At 50.8% G+C, this 18,827-nt stretch overlaps 1 protein-coding gene across 21 annotated transcripts in view, besides 2 other annotated features; it reads right to left on the reverse strand.

The window, feature by feature from the left end:
- TNS1 (tensin 1) overlaps positions 1-18,827 on the reverse strand; it is a 234,192-nt gene that overhangs the window by 62,662 nt on the left and 152,703 nt on the right. For 14 of the 21 annotated variants that reach the window (NM_001438865.1, XM_047445639.1, NM_001438866.1 and 11 more), the window contains one exon: positions 18,446-18,562. In NM_001438865.1, coding sequence (NP_001425794.1) covers positions 18,446-18,562 — 117 coding nt within the window. Of the gene's footprint in view, positions 1-2,849; positions 3,066-18,445; positions 18,563-18,827 lie in introns of all 21 variants that reach the window. The other 7 variants (XM_047445637.1, XM_047445638.1, XM_047445636.1 and 4 more) reach the window with 1 other exon arrangement.
- Positions 2,881-2,940: an enhancer, noted in NCBI's record as "active region_17110". NCBI's record gives its function as "activates an Ori minimal core promoter by ATAC-STARR-seq in GM12878 lymphoblastoid cells {active_cell/tissue: GM12878}" and the evidence as "EXISTENCE:reporter gene assay evidence [ECO:0000049][PMID:35858748]".
- Positions 10,574-11,075: an enhancer, noted in NCBI's record as "H3K4me1 hESC enhancer chr2:218737749-218738250 (GRCh37/hg19 assembly coordinates)". NCBI's record gives its function as "activates a minimal SCP1, AML or CMV promoter by ChIP-STARR-seq in primed H9 embryonic stem cells {active_cell/tissue: H9 hESC(primed)}" and the evidence as "EXISTENCE:reporter gene assay evidence [ECO:0000049][PMID:30033119]".

Raw genomic sequence — 18,827 nt, forward strand, 5'->3', positions numbered from 1 at the left:
AAACACAAGTTCTAGAGGTAGGAGGGTGGGTCTGGATACCTTCTGGAAACTTCTCAGGTGCCAAGGATTCTTCAAGACCCCAGATTTGCCACATGGCACCGCACTGTGGGCAGTCAGCCCAGGCAATTTCCTAGAATCCCCGCATGGTCAAGCCAGAGGATGTTGTGAGTTCATTGGGCCCAACCCACCCACCCGATTTCATCTGTCCAAGTCAGCGAAGGGAAGAGTTTCCCACTGTCACACATGGTCAGTGCTGGAGTGAGATTGCCACCAGGGCCCCTGGCTCTCAGAGGGAGTCCTCCCCACTGCCAGATCTCAGTCAGATGCCATGAGATGGGTGCTCAGAGACTGTGAACTCTCATTACAGAAGAACCACAAATGTCTGCAGGTCTAGCTGTGCGAGGAAAGTAGGATATTGGTGGACAATTCTACAATGAAGACACACTTCCCAACTGTAGGTCAAGCAAATGCCCCCATTCCCTCCAGACCATCCTTCCAGCCAGCAGACCTACAGCTGGAGCCAGGTGGCCAGGGCCCCTCACCCACACTGAGGGGTCTCTCCAGGGAGGAAGGGGGCCCAGCCTCCCTGGTCACCCCCTCCAAGGCTTAGTCCCTTCCTGTCAAGTTCTTTCTTTTCATTCGTAGGTATAAAGCAACATTCCTGGCCTGGCTCTTTGTTCTTCCTCGTAAAGAACAGAATGGCTGAGTGCTTTGGTTTCCAAGCAGCCGGGTCCCAGAACAGAAGGAGGAAACAGAACAGAGTGTCTCCAGTGAAAGACTACTTCACACCCTGCAGGTGGGACAGGTGAGATCACAAAGATGAGAGGTTAGAGGAAAGAGGAGCACCCCCAGGTAGCCAGGGCCCCCCAGGGAATGTGTGACAATACTGCAGATATTTGGGGTTATCACACCTGGAGGAAATACTACTGGTGTCTAGTGGGTACAGGCCAAAGATGCTGCTAAACATCCTACAATACACAGGACAGACCCCCACAACAAGCAATTGTTGTGGTGGTCCCAAGCAATTGTATTGGTCCCAAATGCCAATAGTACCACAGGTGAGAGGCCCTGAGCTAGACTGAGGGATGAAGGAGCCTGGGGTGTAATAGACCGATCTCCGAACTAAGACTCAAGAGTCTTGGGTTTCAACCCCATCTGGGCCACTACTTCACTGCTTAAACTTGGGCAAGTGATTTCCTTTTCCTGGGACTCAGTTTCCAACGTGGTAAAATGAGTGGGAGGAGATAAGCTTTGAACTCTAAAACTTCTGGTTCTATGGACAGCCATCAAGGAAGAGAAAGACATGGCTGGAGGGAGCAGTCAGGACAGGAGAAGGAAGGGGTCTCCCAAGATAGGCATGGTGTCAAGGTTCAAACGTCTGGGGATAGAGGGAGGAAGGGCCCGCTGCCTGGGGTGGGCACAGCAGCTGCATATGTGATGAAAACATGTCCTTAGACCTCCCCAGGACCTCCTCCCTGCCTCCCAGCCCAGTGGACAGGGAAGACAGGGCCATCGGAGCAGGACAAGCTTCAGGCACCCCTGGCAGGGCCTCAGCCTTCCAGGGTCTTCACACTTCCCATCCCAGGAAGGCAGTGGGCAGGGCCAGGCCCAGGAGCATGTTCCCTAAGAACAGGACAGGAGCCCTAGTGCCAGAGGATTACTCAGGAAGGGAATTGTCAACTCCCAGGCAGATGTTTGTGTTGGATGAGGGTCGGGACATATCCACTCACCGCGCTTCTGCTTCTCCCCACCCTTACTGCTCCCAGGACGTGGACACCATGTCAGTGGCAGTCCTCACTGAATGGGGAGAGGGTATATGGGGCTTTGGGAGCAAGGGCGAAGGAGAGGGTAGAATGGAATGAGGCAGGCATGTTATTGAGTATGTGCCTGCACGTTAATGGAAGTTCCCTTGCTTGGTTCCACAACTGCCTTTCAAAGTGGATATTGTTATGCCATCTTCCTGATAAAGAAACTAAGGCTCAGGGGTTGGAGCTTGCTCAGGATTACATTGCCAGTCTGACTCTGACATTCATGCTCTTTCTGCTTCCCAGAAAGGAAGGAGAAACAAGAAAGGAGATGGAGGAGGCAAAGGTTTAGATCTTAGAAGATCCAACAAGAAAAAAGGAGTGGAGAGTGACAATAAAGTCACAATGCTGGTTTATAACAAACTCCAGCAGGCAAGTGAGCACTGTCCCCATCAAACTGGTTCCCTGGGAATTTTATGCATTTATCCTCACAATGCTACCAGAGCTCAAAGCATTTCTGGAAACAAGTAGAACACTGCCTCAGGGCTGGTTTATAATTCACACGAATGAAACCATCTCTGCAAGTGAGGTCAATCACTATTCCTGATCCCAAACAGGCCCATTCTCTCAGCATCCACATATAAGTTGGGTTATCAAACTGGCTGGGCAGTTTTATAATTACAGCTCCCAATACTGTACGCAGTGGGGCAGAGTTGGGGTACGCAGTGGGGCAGAGATCCATGTGGTTCCATGCAGAGAGGTGGGTGTGTGCAGAGGAGCCCATGTGGTTCCATGCATGAGAGGTGGCTATGACTACAGGGGTCCATGTGCTTCCATGCATGAGAGGTGGCTATGACTAGAGGGATCCATGTGGTTCCATGCATGAGAGGTGGTTGTGAGCAGAGGGGTCCATGTGGTTCCATGTGTGAGAGGTGACTATGAGTCAAGGGGTCCCTGTGGCTCCATGCATGAGAGGTGGCTATGAGTACAGGAGTCCATGTGGTTACATGCATGAGTAGGTGCAGAGGTGGGTGGAGGATCTGGGTGGGTATCTGCTTCCTTCCCCAAATAAGCCCATCTAGGGCTAGGCTGAAAGTGACTCACTTATGCAGAGGCCACCAAACCATGAAGCACAGGCCTGCATGGCAGACAGAAGCCAGGGCACCACCCTTGGGCCTTTCTGCCTTTGCATCACATGAGGAGCGCCCATCTGCTTCTCGAAGGTTCTCAAGCAATGTGCAGACAGAGAGAGGAAGGCAGGGAAGAAGGAGAGAGCTGAGAAGCTTTGAGCTTTCATATCAAAATCTGATCTCACTGCCCCTGGAGAAGGAGAAGAACACACATCAAAGAACACTTTGCTGCTAACAATTTTTTTAAGCAATCAAAGGCATAAGTCCCAGATAAGCAGCCAGGGCATCGACTGGCTGTAAAGATGTAAAGATTGGGCAGTCTGAAGCTCCCCACATCCATCAACAGCTCTGTTGCTGCTTCCCAGGGCACAGGGAGATAAATGGCCCAGGGATTGAACAACTGAGGTCCAGTATTCTGGAGCCAGGAGTGTCTGAGGCAGGACACCCCAGGTCCCTGAGGGATAGTCTTGTGAGTGTAAATAATGCTTGAGCAAAGAAAGAGGGGCAGGAGAAAAGGGACTTTGGGGTGAGACTCCTGAGTCCCCTTTGCACAAGAATGAGCTAGGACCTTGTCAGAACCCTCTAGAAGTTGCCTTGTTTTCCCATGTCCACAAGCCATGGTCACTCATCCTACCTAGACAGATGCGTGGAGTGGAAAGGTTCTTCTCCTCAACTTTCAGAAAATCTAGAAAATCTAGTCCTGGCACCTGTTCCTGTTACTCAGATCCCCCAAAGGCAAGAGGGTTCTCCTGAATGTCAGACCTCCATCCTTCCAGCAGCAGCTAAAACTCACCTCTCCAACTCTGCCCCTAGATCTCTAACCAGCCACGGTGTAACAAACAGACCTAAAGAAAATGCTGCCTGGCTGCAGCAGCAGACTAGGAGCCAAAGAGCCAGAATTCTAAGGGGTGATTTTGGACAGGCCTCAGTTTACTCCACTGTGCAATGGCAGAGGGCAAGTATAGGTGATCCCTAAAGTCCTGTTTGGATCTGGATCCTCAAGGATACAACTCAGAGAAGATGCTCTACCAGGCACTGTTTGGATCCCAGAGCCCCTGGACTTGGCAGGCCTGTATCTCCTCTCCTGCTTGGACCTGCCCGGGTGGCTTCAGGCTCCAAACTTGTCTGAGGCTATTTCTGCAGCAGCCATGGAGTCCCTGAGGCTAGGACAGAAAAGGGGACTTACAGGAAGTCTGTAAACACACACCAGGCTGCAGAGGTTCCCAGGGCCATGCAGGGCAATCAAGAGGCTGATTTATTTTCATCAGTGAAATGCTGAAACTTAATCCCTGGAGCAAGCTGACCCGGCAGACAGCGGCAGGCAGCTCCTCAACCAGAGCAGAATTAGCTAGTCCGCAGCCTCTCAGGCCTCTCCACTGGGGCTGGCAGAGGGAGGGGACAGGGAGAAGGCTGGGGCTGGCCAGTTCAGCCACTGTGGCTCCAGATCCCTTGGGCTGGCCTCTCCCCTCCCCCATCACTGGCCTGCAAGGGTCTCCAGGACACAGGCACAGCATTGGGCAGAGCTGGACAGGCAGGCTTCCCACTTTAACTCAGTTCCTATTCCCTAGGTTCTCAAACCCCAACTGCATGGGGCAGCAGGGCAGGGCTCCTCAGGACTCCTACCCTTGTCAGAAATGGTGAGAAATGTTATGCTGAGAAATGGTGGGTGTCAGAATCCAAGCTCTACCCCTACCTGGCTGTGTAAGCATCAGTAAGTTACTTAACCTCTCTGTGCTTGTTTCTTCATCTGTGAAATAGGAACAAGAGAACTCAGGTCACAGGAGAGTCATGAGGAGTACAAGAAATTATGGGTACCTAACAGTATCTCACATATTGGGGGGTGCATATTAAAGGAGGTGGGCGGATAGATTCTCCTCCTCATCCCTAGCCAAATCACTGTCTGGGAGCATCAATTAATACAGTCCTTATGAAGGCCAATCTGGCCCTGTCTATAAAAATTATCTCTTCATATATTCTTCTACCCAGCAATTCCACTTCCAGAAATTTGTCCTATAGATAGACTTACCCAAATGAAAATGGTATATGTGCAACGCCATTCACTGCAGCATTTTTTTGGAAACAGCAAAAGATTGGAAACAGCTTAAATGTTTCTATGATTTAAAGGCAGTTTTTAAAAACCTAGTTATTAAAACATAGTGCACACATACAGTGGAATAGTATGCAGCTGAACAAAATGAGAAGACTCTTTACCTGCCATTACAGAAAGATCTTTACAATGTATCATTCTATAAAGAGGCTGAGGCCAAAGCCAAATCCTTACTATGGCTACCAGACCCCAGGTGATCTACTCCCTGTTACCTTATCTCCCAACACAACCTCCATTCAGTCACACTGTCCTCTTCCCGGCTTCCCAAACATCTCAGGTGGGCCCCTGCCTCAGGGCCTTTGCACCTGCTGTTACCTCTGCCTGGAATGCTCTTCTCCAGATATTTGTCTGGCCAGCTTCTGTGCCTCTTTCAAGTCTTGGCTCAAGTGTTCCTCCTCAGAGGGCCGGGACTGACCAACTCCCCTTTTTAAAAATGTCAACTCTTCAATGCCCCCATTCCCAATCACCCTTACTCTGCTCCATTTTTTGCCAGGGTATTTCTCAAGTTCTAACAGGCTCTGTCAGTTATTTATTATGGTTGTTTTTAAATGTGTTATTGTCTGCCTCCACTAGAATGGAACCGCCGCATGGCAGGGATCTTTGTTTCATTCATTGTTCTGTCCCCAGCATCTAGAACAGTGAGTGGCCGGTACAGAGTAAGCACTCAGTAAAGACCTATTGAATGAAGAAGCGAATGTGACTGAGGACAGCTTATGTACTAAAGAATGTAGATGATGTGGGGTTTTTCCTTCTCTTCATCTTCTTCAATTGCATGGACTTAAGGTTAGGCCTATCCTTATGTCATTCCCACCCTCTTGCATGCTGATGTGTTTTCTCAAAGGGAGGAGGCCATAGCCTGCAGCCTGGTGGTTACTGACGACCAGTGCCAAGGAGGCAGGACCCCTGAGCAGAGGAAGTGGGTCACACCTGGGGATGGAGCCTGGCATTTAGATGATGATGGGGAAAAGATTCACAGACACCTAGTTCTGCATAGTGGGAAGAACACTGGACTTGCAGCCAGAGGCCTTGGTTCAAAGTCCAGCTCAAGAACTGGGATGGTTGAAGGTGAACTCGGGGAAGCATTTTATAAAGTGCTACCCAAGGTCAGGTAGTGGTATTAGCAAAAGTTAATGCTTAGTAATGACTTCCTGTATAACAGTCGCTGAGCTAGGTGCCCATAGATGATTACTTTTAATTCTCAATGCTATAAGACAGGTACTAGCCTTCTCCCCACTTTACAGGTGAGAACACTGAGGCCCAGAAAAGCTAAATGATTTGTCCAAGGTCAACAAAAGGCAAGAGGCAAAGCTAGGGCTCAAGCCCAGACAGCCTGAGTCCCAAGGCCATGCTCCCAATCAGCACGGGGCCTCCCAAGGATCTTCCCATCTAAAGACTATCACCTCCCAAGGACGTGGGTTCCACCCCTTCCCAGCCTACTCTAAGACACTGTCCTTAATTTTAATGGAGGCAGCCGATTACTGAAGCTATGTGAGCTCAGTGACTCTGGTAGGATTTTAGAAGGTCTTGTGTCAGGGAGAGGGACATAGAGAAGAAAGGAGATTTATAGGGGATGAATCATCCATGAGCAGCTGAGGAAGTAGAGGGAGGGTTATCAAAGGAAAAGGGACTGATCATTTGCCAGACCCCAGATCCCTTGAAGCCTTTTCCCATAAACAGCCTCAGAACTGTCCATCAGACAGAAAGCAGGGACTCAGAGAGTGGACCAAGAGGGAGGGCCTCTGCTGCAGGAAGACAGGGTGCCAGGTAGCAGGCAGGGGAGGGAGTGGGTAGATGCAGGCAGGCTCCAGGGAGGATGCCGCCTCTCCGAGGCTGATGGAGAGATTGGCCCCAAAGCCAGGCGAGGACAATGAGTGAAGAAGCTCAACTTTGCCAAAGCAAATCAGCCTCTGAAAAGGCAGGGAGGAGCGCCCAAGGCCTCAATAGATCCAGCAAGGAATCATTTGGAATAGTCCAGAAAGAGGACCTTCACCACGGAGGGTTAGATGCTGCTGTGAGCTGAATGGGGAAGCTGGAGGGCTGGAGCCTGAAGGCAAGAAGGCCCACTGTAGGAGCCACACACCCATCAGAGCCAGGGGTGGCATCAACCCACCCCCACCTGCGTGGGACTCTGAGTGGCCTGATGGAGTCTCCCCAGGCGGCCACATGGGGAGGAGGTGAGGAAAGGCAGCCCTCAGCCAGCCAAGTCCACCAGGGCAAGAAATGCAGGCTCTGTGGACGCATCTACTGCGGGTTTGGTGTGCTTTATTTTGTAAAGGTTGCTTTGAAAAACTGAAAGCAAAACAAAGGAGAAAAGAGGCCCCTGAACCCCTTCAATAGCAGACGGGGGAATGGAGCCCCAGGACTCTGGTGAGGGCTTCTGGGCCAGCTCAGCTCAGCTCCTGGGAGCAGCAGGGACCCCCGGGGAACACCAGCCCCTCCCTTGGCCCCACACTGCAACTGTTCTCACCTCCCTGGCCTCCTGCAAGGGTGCCCTGGCCCTCAGCTCACCTCCACCACCTCCAACATCCCGCTAAGGTCCCACCCACCCCACCGCAGTGACCAGAGCAATTGTGTGAGGAAGCCAGTCAGATTTGATTGTTTCTCGTTCCTTTTACTTTCCAGACTTTGAACAACGTTGTTATGCCACTTTTTAATCTGAAAAACAATTCTGCCTTCAATGCCATTTATCCTCCCAGGGGCCCTTCAAATGCAGACCCTCTGCAAAGCCAGCCCCTCTGATCATAATCATCCCCAGAAGACAGGGCACTTGCCCGAGCCCCTTACCCACGGGCTGCAGGGCAGAGTGGATACAGCACTGGGCTGACACCCCTACCCCGTCTCCAGACAACCCCAGGGCACAGCTTTCTATATCCCCAGGGCTTACACAGTGCCCACCACCTAGCAGGGGATCAGTTAAGTAACTGGAAACAGAAAGGAAGGAAGGAAAGGAAGAAGAGAGGAAGGTAATGATGGGTGCAAAGCAGCTTTAGGTGAGTAAGAAAAAGTATTTGATTGATAGAAGCTTAAATTCCTTTTATTGGATATAATTAGAGTCGGTATCTTGGGGTCTTGATGGGTCCGGATAGCTTGCACTTGTCTACAGGTCTGGCAGGAGAGGAAACAGGGAGGGAGGCTGAGGGGGAAAGAGTACACACTCCCCTGACCCCTGCCTCGATCTGGATATTTGAGCACAAGAGAGCAGACTGTGCCCAGAGCTCCGGCTGGCTCTGAGCGTGGCTCCGGCCTTCCAGCCTGCACCCGATGGCAGAGATTACAGAGCACCAAAGGCACATTCACTCGGGAGGGTATTGGTTTACCGTGTGTTCCATGGGCAGAGGCTGCTGCCCAAGCATGCCAGCTGCCTCGCAGAGCAGGGCCAGCTAAGGGTCCGAGGGCATTGAGACAAACCCAGCGCTGCTCGACAGAGAACAGTGCAAGCAGGTGGCTGGCAGATACTGGGTCAGTGGTGTCATCTTTTTACCCGCAAGGTCAGGCTTGCCTTGTATTTGAATTCTCAAGACTAATTGTGCCAGTGAGTCAGGAGAGGACTCCCCTCTTGGGGGAGGCAAAAGAACCGAGAATCCTCCTTAAGGAGCTGTCTCATCCAGGCCTCTATCTTGGCCTCTATGCAGACCAGCACACACTAAGATCCACCCCTCTTGTCCCTCAACATCACTGCCCAAGGGGGCCAAGAGGACAAGAGGACCAATCTGCCTGTCACAGCTGATTCACCCTCTCACAGTTGGGAAGTTCTACCAGGAGGCTAACCCAAACCTCTCCTGCTAGTATCTCAGCCCTTTGTCCTATATGATGTGATAGATCAAGGTCAGAAGCTTTCAGTAGCAGCTTTGAATTCCTCCCTCCCCTGCTACTGCCCCCACCACCTTGAAGTCACAGGCCAGAAGGGCTATCCCCTCTGGAGGCCAGGTGACCATTTCCCAACAAAAATCAGTTCAGGGTCGAATCTCAGGCTCTCAGCACCCACATGTAGAAACTCACCCCTGAAGCCCTCTGCTTAGATACAAGGGGCACATGTATCACTCCCCAGGAACCTTGGACTATTTCCCTGAGTTATCTGGGACCACCTGCAATCCTGTACTCCCCTCTCTTGCTGGTTTCTCCCACGTCTTACTCAAAAGTTCAGAAGGCAAGAATGTCAGAACCTGAGAAAATACATCAAGGGCAAACAGCGTGGTGCACACGAGTTCTCTCCCACAGCCCCACCCAGAGTGAGCACTGGGACTCTGCTCCCCACTGCTGAAATCTCTCACTCTCAAACCTGGAGGACACCTTCTCACCACTCTCCCATCCGGCCTGGGCCCCAGGAGATGAAGGGAGACAGGGCTACACAGGCCCGGGGCTGGCTGGAAGGCAGAACTCATGGGCTTTTTCCTGTTCTACCATCCAGGGATCTGAAACTCGGCCTCCCTCTCTGTGAGCAACCTTTCCAGGCTAATCCAGGCACCTCTTCTAAAGCTGGAAAGAGATCAGGCCATACAGCCTAAAGCATTTTGGGCTACAGATGAAGATCATAAAATGTTAAGTAGCAGTGCAAATCCCTGACTGGTTGCAGACCCACCACGTTGGAATCCTGCCTTCACCATTTATCCAGAAGACTTCGTTGGACGAAGTCCTTAACTTCTCTGTTACTTGCCTCAGTTTCCTCATCTATCAAATGGGAACACTATTTGTGACCAGATGTTAACGTGAAAGTACTTGGGTCTCAGTTGTAAAAGAGGCCTGAGGACAAGGAATGACACATTTCAAAAGTAAGGCAGAAGACCACCATGCAGGCCTTGCAGAAGAGATGACTGACATCAAGAAGTGAAAAGACCACTCACAGAATGGGAGAATATATCGGCAAATTATATATCTGCTAAGGGACCTGTTGCCAGAATATAAAATGAATGCTTACAACTCAATAATGAAAAGACAAAACAAAAATTTAAAAAGGAAACAGAGGATGTGGATGGGCAGTTTTCTAAAGAAGATCCATAATGGCCAATTAACACATGAAAAGATGTTCAACATCATCAATTCTTAGGAAAATGCAAATTGAAACCACAATGCAATACCCTTTCACACCCACTAGGATGGCTAGCATCCAAAAGATAGAAAATAAATGTGGGTGAGGATGCGGAGGAAGTCTCATACATTGCTGGTAGGAACGCCAAATGGTGTAGCCACTTTGGGAAACACTCTGGCTGTTCCTCAAATGATGACACAGGTGATCCAGCAGTTCCACTCCTGGCTATCTACCCAAGAGCAATGACAACCTAAGTCCACACAAAAACTTGCACATACATGTTGACAGCAGCATTCTTCACACAAGCCAAAAAGTTGAAACAATGCAAATGTTCATCAATTGATGGTGATGTATGGATAAACAAAATATGGTATGGCCTACAATAGAATATCATTCAGCAACAAAAATGAATAAAATACTGATACATGTTACAACGTGAATGAAACATTGGGTCAAGTAAAAGAAACCAGACACAAAAGACCACATATTGTATCACTCCATTTACGTAAAGTGTCCAGAATAGACAAATCTACAGAGACAGAAAGTAGATTAGGGTTGGGAGTTGGTGGCAGAAGTGGGAGTGGCTGCTGCTAGTTATAAGATTTCTTTGGGTGGGGGTGATAAAACTGTTCTAAAATGAGATTACGGTGATGGTTGTACAAGCCTAAATATACTAAAACCCATTGAATTGTATACTTTAAAGAGGTGAAGTTGTGGTATTAAATTATATCTATACAGCTATTAAGTTTTTAAAAAGAGAGTGATGGCTGAAAACTGCTTTGTGGCTCCAAACTATACCGCCATACACACCATGCACACACATACATATCAAAGGTGTAAAAAGATTAGAAAGTGGAAGATTGTAAGAGGAATTGTGGAGAGCACGGTGTTTGGTGGCAGGTCCCACCTTTCTAGAGGCTTCTCCCTCATCTCAGTGAGTCTGCTCAGAGACTCAGCAGGTACCTGCGGGCGCATGGAGGATGTGAAAGACAGGGGCCTAACTGTGCTGTGGGAACAGGGGTGGGGGCGCACTGGCCACCTCAACCCGGGTCTTTGCGGGGGCCAGGAGTGCTGACTTTTTACTTTGGACCAAGGTGAGAGAGAGCCAGCCCCTGGGCTGCCTCAAATGCTGTCCATGAGGGCCACCTGCAGGGGTGAGAGATTTCAGCAGGAGGAGGCTGGAGGGAGCGAAGGATGACTGGGCTGAGGAAGGGGGTCCTGAGCATCTGAACAGAACCATGTTCGCCACCCAAAGGGAACAGCGAATGAAAGACTTTTGGGCAGTTGGACAGGGTCTCCCAAATACCTACAGAAGTGCCTCAGGAGAGAAGCCAGAGGGCATTCAATGCCTCCAGAATCTTCCACTGGCAAAGAACCCAAGAGATATCATTTGTGTCTCTGTCTCCACACAGAGAATGCCTGTGCAACCCCACCAGGCAAGAAAGAATGTTCTGGAATGTTCCCCCTTTCTTCCCTTCCTAACCCTAAATATGTAAGTCAGGAAAACAGAAAGAAGACTTACTGAGCCTCCCCACCACCACCACCACCCCCGCCCCCCAACCAACACACACACACACACACACACACACACACAGCTAGCAGCCAGGTAGGAGCTGACAAGGGGGAGGAGCAAGTTCACCAGCACTGGGCGTATTTATTTATTACCCACCAAAAGACCTTGTATTACCTGAGAGTGGCTAGAAAAGGGATGGAACTTGCCCCAGTGTCATTTGGGGGAAGGGGAAACAGGGTAGACTTAAAGGGCAGTAGTATACAAAACAAGTAGCTTTTTAATCACATCCTACAAATTCTGCTTGTTCAGCCCAGTAAGTACAAAACAGCACCCACCTACAGGTGTTTGGGGAGGATTAACCAAGAGAACATACAGTCAGTGGTGCCTGGCACCCAGAAAGTACACAGTGCTCTCATCTCAAGGTCATCATCAGCATCAGCATCCTCAACATTGTTAGGGCTTTGGAGCTGGAAGCCCTTTTTGAAATCCATTATCCTCAATTTGCTGATAATGAAACTGAGAACCAGAGAGGGGAAGTAATTTTTCCAAGGTCACATAGCAAGTTGATGTCAGAGGCATGTCTCCTGACTCCCAAGAGTGGGGTTCCCAGAACAGAGCCAGCTATAGATGGTTCCCAGAGAGTAGAGGGGCAAGGGGAACGCGGCTTTTTCTAAAGAAGAGAGGGCTAAAATCATGTCTGTATCTTCTCTCCTCCAGCACTTCAATAATAATAATAACAGACACAAATCACTGCCAGCATGGCATGCGCCACTCTGCTTTTCACATTTCATGTATATTACCTCATTGTATATCAGACAATAATGCTATAATGAAAGTACTGTTATTGAACCCATTTTACAATTAAGACATTTGGATCTCAGAAAGGCAAAGTTACTTGGCCAAGAAACACACCTATAAACAATAGAGCTTAGAACCAGATCTTCTGGTTCTAGGTCCCATAGCCTTAATTCCTAGAGATTGGTCTGTTCAACCTTATTTCCAGCTTCTCATCCTCTATGCACAACTTCCTTGCCCCCTTTGAAGCTAGGCATGGGTGTTTGGCTTGTTTTGGCCAATTAAACATGAGCGGAAGGAAAACATGTGAGTTCTAGGCAGGAGCAGTGTGCAAGCCATGGTGTCTTCTTCCCACAGCTGCAGCAGTGAAGGAAGCACCTACAAGATGAAGCTGCCCTCAGCCTAGAGTATCTGTGATGAACAGAGACCTTTCTGACCCCCAGTGGATATGTAGTATGAGCAGAAATATGCTTTTGTTGGGTCAGGCCCACTGAGAAGGTGGGATCATTTGTCACTGTGGCATAATTGAGCCTCTCCTGACTGATAGAACCACTAAGCCATGCTCCTTCCTGCTCTAAGCCCATGGGTTGCGAAAGTCTGAGAGGGAAGCCTGGCAGGCCCCTTTTAGGTCTTCACAAGTCATGAAAAGACACAATGCTTGAGCTCAAAGAAATGGAAAGAAATACTATCTACTCCAGCCCTCACATTTCATAAGAAATAAAAAGGACCTATGGAAAAAGAGTTACCAGAGACACCCAGAACCCAAATCTTCTGCCTCCCAGGCCAATATCTATCCATGCCTGTCTATCTCTCCATGTCTCTCATCTATTTATTTCTTTCTCCTTCTTGGTCTCTGCCTGTTTGCTGTATCTCTTTCCCTCCCTCTTTCCTCTTTCAAAAAAAAAGTATCACAGAGTCCTTGGATAAGCCCAGCTCATAAGAAGTCATCACAGAACAGGGATTCCTGGCTCCAGGCAGAGGCTCCTCCCCTACCCAGACAAAAGCACTTGGGGAGTGGATGGGCACCCTTTAGAACTAGAAGATCTCCCCTGAGGGCTGAGAAGCTTGGGCACAAAACCAAGGCCCCCTGTCACCAGCCCCCGGTTCTGGTGGGATTGTCCATGGAAACAAGGGAAAGACTGATGGGCGCCAACCAGGAGAGATGCAGAAGTGGGGTGGACACCAGCCCCTCACCCTTGTCAGCCAGGCTGGGAGGTTTGTCATTCCCCTGAGTCACCCTGTCCTTTATCCCTGAGAAATCTACTTTCTGAGAGCACCCCTCACTTGCCCAACCCCTGTTCCCATCCTCTCTGTTGAGTCAAGAGAAACTCTAAACAACTGATGTCCAAGGAAGTCACAGAAAGGTGGGGGGTGGATGAGAAGGCAGGCAGGAACCCAGGCCTGGTCAGCCTGCAGGCTTCTCAGAGGCAGAGGGCAGTCCATATCCCTTGGTTCAAGGCTTGCTTCCGAGAAGGCTTGCCCCGGAACACTATGGAGGAATTTGGAGCCTGCTTTATACAGCAGAGGCAAAAACACAGCGCCACCCCTACCCATGGGGACCTGGAATCTGGGCACGGGGCATCAGAACTCAGGCCAAGTTGCTAATGGGGTTTCTGGAGGCTGCAAAACTGGTGTTAGCCAGAGCACTGAGCCGGCAGGCTCCAGATCTAACTGGAGAGAGGCAGAGGTGCCCGCAAGGAGGGAACCAGACCTCTCCCCACCACCTGTCCTTGACCTTTCCTTCCTCCCACTCAGGATCAAAGGCCTGGGGCATCCAAATACATGTGACCCAGAAAACTCCTTCTCAGGTGTGACGAGCTGAACTGTTCCCCCATTCAGATTCCTGTTTTGCAACCCTAACCCCCAGCAGCTCAGTATGCCACTGTATTTGGAGATACAGCCTTTAAAGAGGCAATTAAGGTGAAAAGAGATCATTAGGGTGAGCACTACTCCAATACGTCTGGTGTCTTTATAAGAAGAGATGAGGGTAAGAATACAAGCAGGGGGAAGATGATGTGAAGATACAGGGAGAAAACAGCATCTCCAAGCCAAGGAGAGAGGTCTCAGGAGAAACCAACCCTGCTGAAATCTGGATCTCAGACTTGTAGCCTCCAGAACTATGAGAAAATTCATTTCTGTTGAACAAGCCCCTGGGTCTGTGGTGCTTTGCTGTGGCTGCCAGAGCAGATTAATAATACTTCAGGCATGGGATTCACCAGAAGGCACTGCTCTGGGAGTAAAGGGTCCCCAAGATGGCAGGCACTGTCCTCCCAGCCACTGTCCCACAACAGAGAACTTCGTCCAGTCCGAGGGTCCTTATTATTGAGCTTCCCTTTGATTCTTCACCCTCATCACGCCCCCCTCCTCCTGGCCCAGGAGCAGGTGAGCCCAAAGTCTCCACCACAGCCACACTTTGCTACACAGAGACACAGCTGGACCCGTCCCACCATAAACGGGCTTCCCTTTGTGGTAGTGAGCCCCTGTCATCATTAGGGCTTCAGAAATGGGACGACCATCCTGAAGGAGCCACCTGAAGGATTATGGGTATGGGTTCCGGGGTGCTGTTAAGCTGAGCTCCAAGGGAGGTAGAAAGGGATTTGGATTCCAATATCAACTCCACATCTTGTCTCATGACCCTGGACAAGATTGCTAACCTCTGCCTACTTCTGGGGTCTTCATCCAGGAAATGGGGTTGGTACAGGCTGAGCTGAGCTAATGCCAAGGAGGGCCCATACTTCGGGGTTTCCTGCCCCTTTGGCAGGCCCCCTCCCTCTCGGGTTTTATGACTAGCCCAGCCACCTGAGCCTGAGAAGTCAGCCTTCAGAGAACAGAAATTCAACAGAATTCGGGAGAGGGCTCTAAGTGTCACAGTGCTGCAAGCTGTAAACTTGAACTTGGAGCTGGGTTGGGGGGCTGCAGGCAGTGAGGAAAGGGTTAAATGCAGAGCAGTTCCTGAGATGATGGTTAAGTCAGGGGCAGCAGGAGGGCCTCCTGGGGGACCAGGAGCTCTGAGCCTGGTGCTGGCCATGCCTCACTGCCAGGAGAGGGCAAGGTGGGGACACAGGCCACACGAGAGGATGCAGGCCAGAGATGACATCTGCTGCTGACTGCCTGGCTGGGTGCTCCCTGCCCCCCTCCTCCAAGTCTCCTGGTGGGCTCCAGAGGGAATGGTCTGGCCTCTACTATCACCCTCCCGCAGTGGGCCTGAAATAGAAGAGGTAGGCAGGGGGCCACTTTCAGAAATGGCCCCAGGTCACCTTGGACACCCTTCCCTCTACCTATTTCGAGAGGCCTGCCACTCATCAGAAGCATTCCTGAGTGAGCGGCCCACACTCTTCTCTGTGGGTCGGGCCAGGGGCTCAGCTGTTGCCTGCACTGAAGTCTTGCTGAACGCCTGCCTCAGGGCAAGCCCAGTGGCCTCCGGGGTGCCACGCTCCAGCACACCCCCCTCGCCTAACCCTCCCTCTTCCTAACAGTCAGGATGGGTTGACTTTCTCTGTCCATGGGTGAGAGGTAGCAGCCAGAGAGGTACTAGGCTTAGTGGGACCCAGGTACTGCCACAAAACCAGATGCCCAAAGCAGGCCCCTAGGGACGTCAGCCAACCCAGGACAGCACAGGGGGCAACGCGGTGGCTTGAAACCCAGATCTGCTCTTGACTGGCTTGGCAAGCTGGGGCAGGTTACTTAACCCCTCTGTGCTCCAGTTTCCCCATTTGGACATAATAAGAGTCATAGAATGGCTGGGAGCATCAAATGAAATGGCAACTACCAAGTTCTTGGTGCCATGGCTGGTGCATGGTAAATCCAGGCCTTCTCCCTTAGCCATGTCTTGCAGGCGCCTGACACACTGGCCACAGCTGACACAAATGTGTCACGGACCCCCAAGAAAACACCACATGCAGTCCTTCCTCAGGCCGTGCTGCCCACAAGGGGCTCAAAATGATTTGTTGACTGAATTCCCATTTTACAGCAGGTCAAACCGAGGCCCCAAGGACAGTACCTTGTCAAAGGATTTGAAGCCAGGTAGTTTGGCTGCAGAGGCTGCATTCTTAACCACATACTAACTGCCTCTCATGAAGGCCGCTATAGGCAGGTAGAGGGGACAGAGGGTTGGTGAGGGAAGGCCCTGGCCGCTTCTTCTGCCCCCTCGCCCTTCCTTTTTTCCCTTCTAATCCATTCCCTCAGACAGAGGGATGGAACCAGCAGGACCTTTTGGTCAGTTAAAGGTCAGCTCATCCTGCAAGGACAGAGGGGCCCTGTCTGGAGGCTGAGAAGCTGGCCCTCTGCCGAGAGGGGGAGCCGCTCTCGGCTCTGCTGTCCCTGGGCTGCCTCCCACTCTGACCGTCTGCTCTTCTTCCTTCCCCCACAGCCAAATACATCCTAAGCCCCGTCTTTCCCACATCTCCTCCTCACCGTTAATTATTTTACCTTTTATTTGCCTGGCACTTTATAGTTTACTAAATGTTTTTACATTTATCATCGCATTGACCATGCACCAAGAAGAGATGGAGAGACAGTAAAAATTCTTTCCAATTGCCAAATGTTCTTGTTAAAAATGCAAACATCCCCAGCACAACGACCAATTAGGCTGGCAGCCACTGAAACCTCAGAACAAATTCGCTCCAGCCTCTGCTTTCTGCTTGGCCGCTCAGCGCCCGGGGATGGAGGAGTGCTTTTCACAAGCAGCCTGGGGGGTCGGAGGGGCCTGGTGGGGTGTCTTGGCCAATCTGAGGGTGCTGGGCCCCTGGGGGAGGAAAAGGGGTTGGGAACTGAGGCAGGTGTGAGGACAGGCCATCCACTTTTCAATGTTGCACGTAAAAAAATGTGCTCTCAGTGAGTCCCCAAATTCTAGTCCAACCACCCTCCCTCATCCCACTTCTCTCTGAAACCTTGTGCTCATTCTGGTGACCCCAAGGTCAGAGGAGAAATCTTTATTCAAGGAAAGGCCCAAAGATTTTCAGAGAGGAGTCATCAAATCCAAAACCTTGGGGAGGGAGACAGAAGACAGCGCCGTGTAGAGGAAAGAGGGCACAGGGAGGCCCCCAGGCCTACCTATCTCTAACCTAGCTCTGCCATGGGACCCAGGGGCCCCAGGATGGCACAGCCCCACCCAGGACTGGCTTCAGCTGGGAGGAGAAGCCAGACGCTGGGTGCTGGCATCCTTGAAAGGGCCATCCTGGGTCACGGGGGTAAATCAGGAGGTTCTGCCTCTGGGAAGGGTCTCAGTCACCCCAACTGAACACAGATGGGTGATGGGCTGGACCATCCTGAAGGTCCTCCCAGCTCCAACATTCTGCAGTCCTACGACCAACTCAAGAAAAGAAGCTTGTGGCCAAACCCCAGGCAGGGCATCTCAAGAGTTCCTGGGCTCTGGGCATGCTCACTTTCGGAGCCCGCCCCACGTCTCCTTACACATATGCAGATAGACCACATAAATAAATAGAATGCATGTAGAACTCTCAAGAGACGACCTGAGTTGCAGTGGACCATTTGACATAATGTTAGGTTTGTAGCTAAATTAAACATGTATTAATTTCAATTCTGCTGCTTTCTTTTCAAATTTCAGAGCCTATCAGTTTGTTCCCAGCTCTCAAACATTTTTGTTGGCTGTTGATGAAAGCTTGTAGGCCCTAGATCCTGTGCCTCTGTTCCTAGTACTCTGACCCCAGAGAACTCAGGCAGCAAGCCTGAAGAAACCCAACAGTGGGTTTAATACACATGTGACAAATGCTGTTTTTGCAGCACAGTGGGGGGTATCTCAAGCTCCACTCAAGGCCACATCCTCCAAGGAGCCTTCCCAGATCACTCCAGCTCTCAAAATCCCTCCCTGCCAATCCCAGAGAACTCACTGTCCACGGAACTTACTTGGCTGTAGCAACACACTTCCACGATAACCCCCTTGTGGCCATTTTGCTGCCTTCTTTGGCTCTGTCCTCACTTTTATTTAATACATTCATATATGTGCCTTATCTTCCCCCAGTTAACGGTGAGCTCTCGGAGGTACCTCACACTTCCCCTCTGCCTCCTCTCGAACCCAGATCTCTTGAAAGCAGGCCAAGAGAAGCAAGGTCATGTGAGCAGAGGCTGTGCAGTTTGGATAGGGGCTGGGAGCCACTAGGTCCCACCTACCCTCCATGCCGTCATCTCGATGCCCACTGAAGTTGTCGTAGGAGTCCCAGCGGATGAGGGGGTCGGAGGTGTTATAGTCCACAGACACGCTCGGCCCGTTCTCCAGGTGCTCCATGCCTAAGTGGGATGGGAAAGGCAGCGGCAGTCGGGGAGACAGTGCAGAGAGGGAAAAGAGATCAGCAGCTGGAAAAACAGAGAAAGCCCACAAGCTCCCCAAAAGAGGCTCCCTGAGGGACTTCTCATTTTCTTGAGCGTGGTGGGCGGGACCAGTGGCTTAAGCTGGACTGAGAACTGGGAGTCTAGTTTCTCACATTCTTGAAAAGGCTCATGCCGGGTCATAGGGGTAAATCAGGACAGGCACTGAAGAATGAAGACCCCCTGG

Source organism: Homo sapiens, chromosome 2, assembly GCF_000001405.40.
Source record: "Homo sapiens chromosome 2, GRCh38.p14 Primary Assembly".
Classification (NCBI taxonomy): Eukaryota; Metazoa; Chordata; class Mammalia; order Primates; family Hominidae; genus Homo; species Homo sapiens.